Genomic DNA, 2,837 nt, shown 5'->3' with positions numbered 1-2,837 from the left:
TCTGCATCAGAAACACCTGAGGGCTGGTTTAACATTTCCCCCATACATAGAGATTTTAATTACGTAGTTCAGGAGTGGGACCCAAGCCTACATGTCAATACACAATACCTCAGGTGACACTGATGCTAATGCAGAACCTGTGGATATATCACTTCAGAATGTGAGATTTTGGAACTCCGAACTAGGGAAAAATACAAGTGGTAGAGTTGAAATATTCAATAGTAAACCACAAAGAACTTCAAAGTTAGGGGAAAGATATTCTCACTCTTGGAAGCTGACCTCTAGCGTTCTGAAGTGAACAAGTGTCCTAGGTGGTCAGAGATTGTTAACTAGTATAACGATAAGCAAAGAAACTATATGCATAACAATAACTAGTATAATGATATGCATCAACACTGAAAGCTTTAAATATATATACTGAAAAGTTGGCCTCACAGACTGAGAAACCTTGATTTGGTTACATGAAAGAAGCACAAGACTTATTTCTGCGAACCGTCTTATTACATTTATGCCTAATTACCATGGGCCGAACAATACTCACGTATACCCCTAAATATGTGTTGGAGTGCTTCTGTTGTCAGCTTTCATGTGATTAGAGCAAAATCTGTGGATCTGTCTTTTTAGTTTACTGTCCTAGAACCACAGTCATTTGATCACAACTTTAAAACAAATAGTAAAAGTATGGTTAATGTAACATATTTAGATTTATTTTGGTGATTGTTTTTGGCATTGTTCCTCTACCCTACTAGAAAGAGACAACTGGCATATATGTTCTAGAAGGCAATTGGGCATCTCTAAGAAAGACAACTGAGATTTTGGAGATGGACACAGAATGATTAGTACTCTTTTAACCACTTCATAGATTGGCTCTAGCAGTGGACAAAGGATCCTTGTATGCTCCACTGAAGCACCCATCTCCAGCACTAGCACACATCCCAGGTACAGGAATGGACTTTCACTCGATGGACTCAATAATATATCTTGCCTTTGTTTTTCATGAAGAATATCGGGGTTTTTTTTTGTTTTGTTTTTGGTTTTGAGATGGAGTCTTGCTCTGTCACCCAGGCTGGAGTGAAGTGGTGCGATCTCCGCTCACTGCAACCTCCACCTCCCGGGTTCAAGTGATTCTCCTGCCTCAGCCTCCCAAGTAGCTGGGACTACAGGCACATGCCACCATGCCCAGCTAATTTTTGTATTTTTAGTAGAGATGAGGTTTCACCATATTGGCCAGGCTTGTCTCAAACTCCTGACTCGTGATCCGCCCACCTCAGCCTCCCAAAGTGCTGGGATTACAGGCGTGAGCCACCGCGCCTGGTCTCATGAAGAATATCAGGTTTTTTGTTTTTTAATGTTTGCCAAGATCTCTACAAAAAACAGGATTTTTCACTTGCACATTCAACTTGTACATCTCCTTTATTTCATTCCCTTGAATCTTCAAGTATTATCATTGAAACAGATACAAAAAAACTTAATGGAGGTAAAAATAAATATATTATCAAATAAAAGAAAATTCCAACCTGATTTTATAGATTTTAAGTTTCGGACAGCTCTTTAGTACAAGATAAATATTATATTGATATATATAATTGTTAAGATAACTCGGATTGACTATAGTTGAGTCATCAGCTCCACACTTTACTGGCTGTGTGATCAGAAGCAGTTTCTTAACTTCTGCAAGACCCAGCACATTCATTAGTAAAAAGGGATAATATCTATTGCATGTTATAAGTTTCATGTAAGCATGTTAAAAGTATTCTGAAGTATACCTGGTATGGGGTAGATATTTAAGAATTATTACTATTTATTATTACTAGTCATCATTGATAATGGGATATATTGAGAAAAATTATGATTGTGAGGATATAAACAGTACCTTAGATTATAGCTACAGTTGTTTATAAACTCCATTTTCAAGTCTAACTTTTAGATTCTGATACTTTCCTTTTTTATTTCAGTTGTTAAATATTTTAAAATTTGAAGTTAATTTACCTGTTGAATAAAATAACAAAGATTCCTTTTGTTCCCAGTTTCTTGTGGCTCATGCTTGTTTTGGTGCTTTTTGGAGGAGGGAAACTATTGTGATGTTGACATGGTAGCAACACTCTCATCTGAGGGTCCATCAGTCATTTTTCCCAATGTGAAAAGCTGAACCTAATCCATACAGCTATCATTTAGCATTCTCACCTATCCAATGAAAAATTAAAGGAGGATGGAAACTTGCTATTTTTCTGTTTCACAAATAAAACCAGGCTAGTAAAACTGTCATCAGATCACTTTTCTCAGAAAAGCATTGCTGTCATCCCAAAAGTCAATTGAATTGTAAGCAGAAAACATTCTCATTGATTTTTGCAGGACAAAGCAGAATAACTGGGGACAAAGCAGGCCAGGAGTTGACAAATTAGGAAGAAAATTGAACTGTAAAATAAGCATCCATGAATTCACATTAGTGCTGCCTTTGCTTTATTGAATAAACACAAATGATTTAGGATTTGATTTTATTGTTAAATATCTAGCTAAAACGTGATTAACACAAAAGTATTTAATTCAGAGTACCTAACTCTTATGATGCTAACTTTGAATTTAGAATTATGGGTAAATGCCCAAGAAAGCTCTCTGTCAGCCACGGTTGCAATATTAGAAGATATTCATGTAGTGGCATTTTTTCCAGTAACTCAATTTGCATTACTTTGGATATAAGTGGGAATCATGATTTGACTCACAATGAAATGAAGGACAGGAATGACAGGGCAAATAACAGCGCTAAGTACAGAAACAATCACATCATATCTCACTAAAACTTTAATTTGGAGCTGGGCGTGGTGGCTCACACCTATAAT

Source organism: Homo sapiens, chromosome 7 (genome assembly GCF_000001405.40).
Source record: "Homo sapiens chromosome 7, GRCh38.p14 Primary Assembly".
Lineage (NCBI taxonomy): Eukaryota > Metazoa > Chordata > Mammalia > Primates > Hominidae > Homo > Homo sapiens.
Note: the sequence above shows the minus strand (reverse complement) of the source record.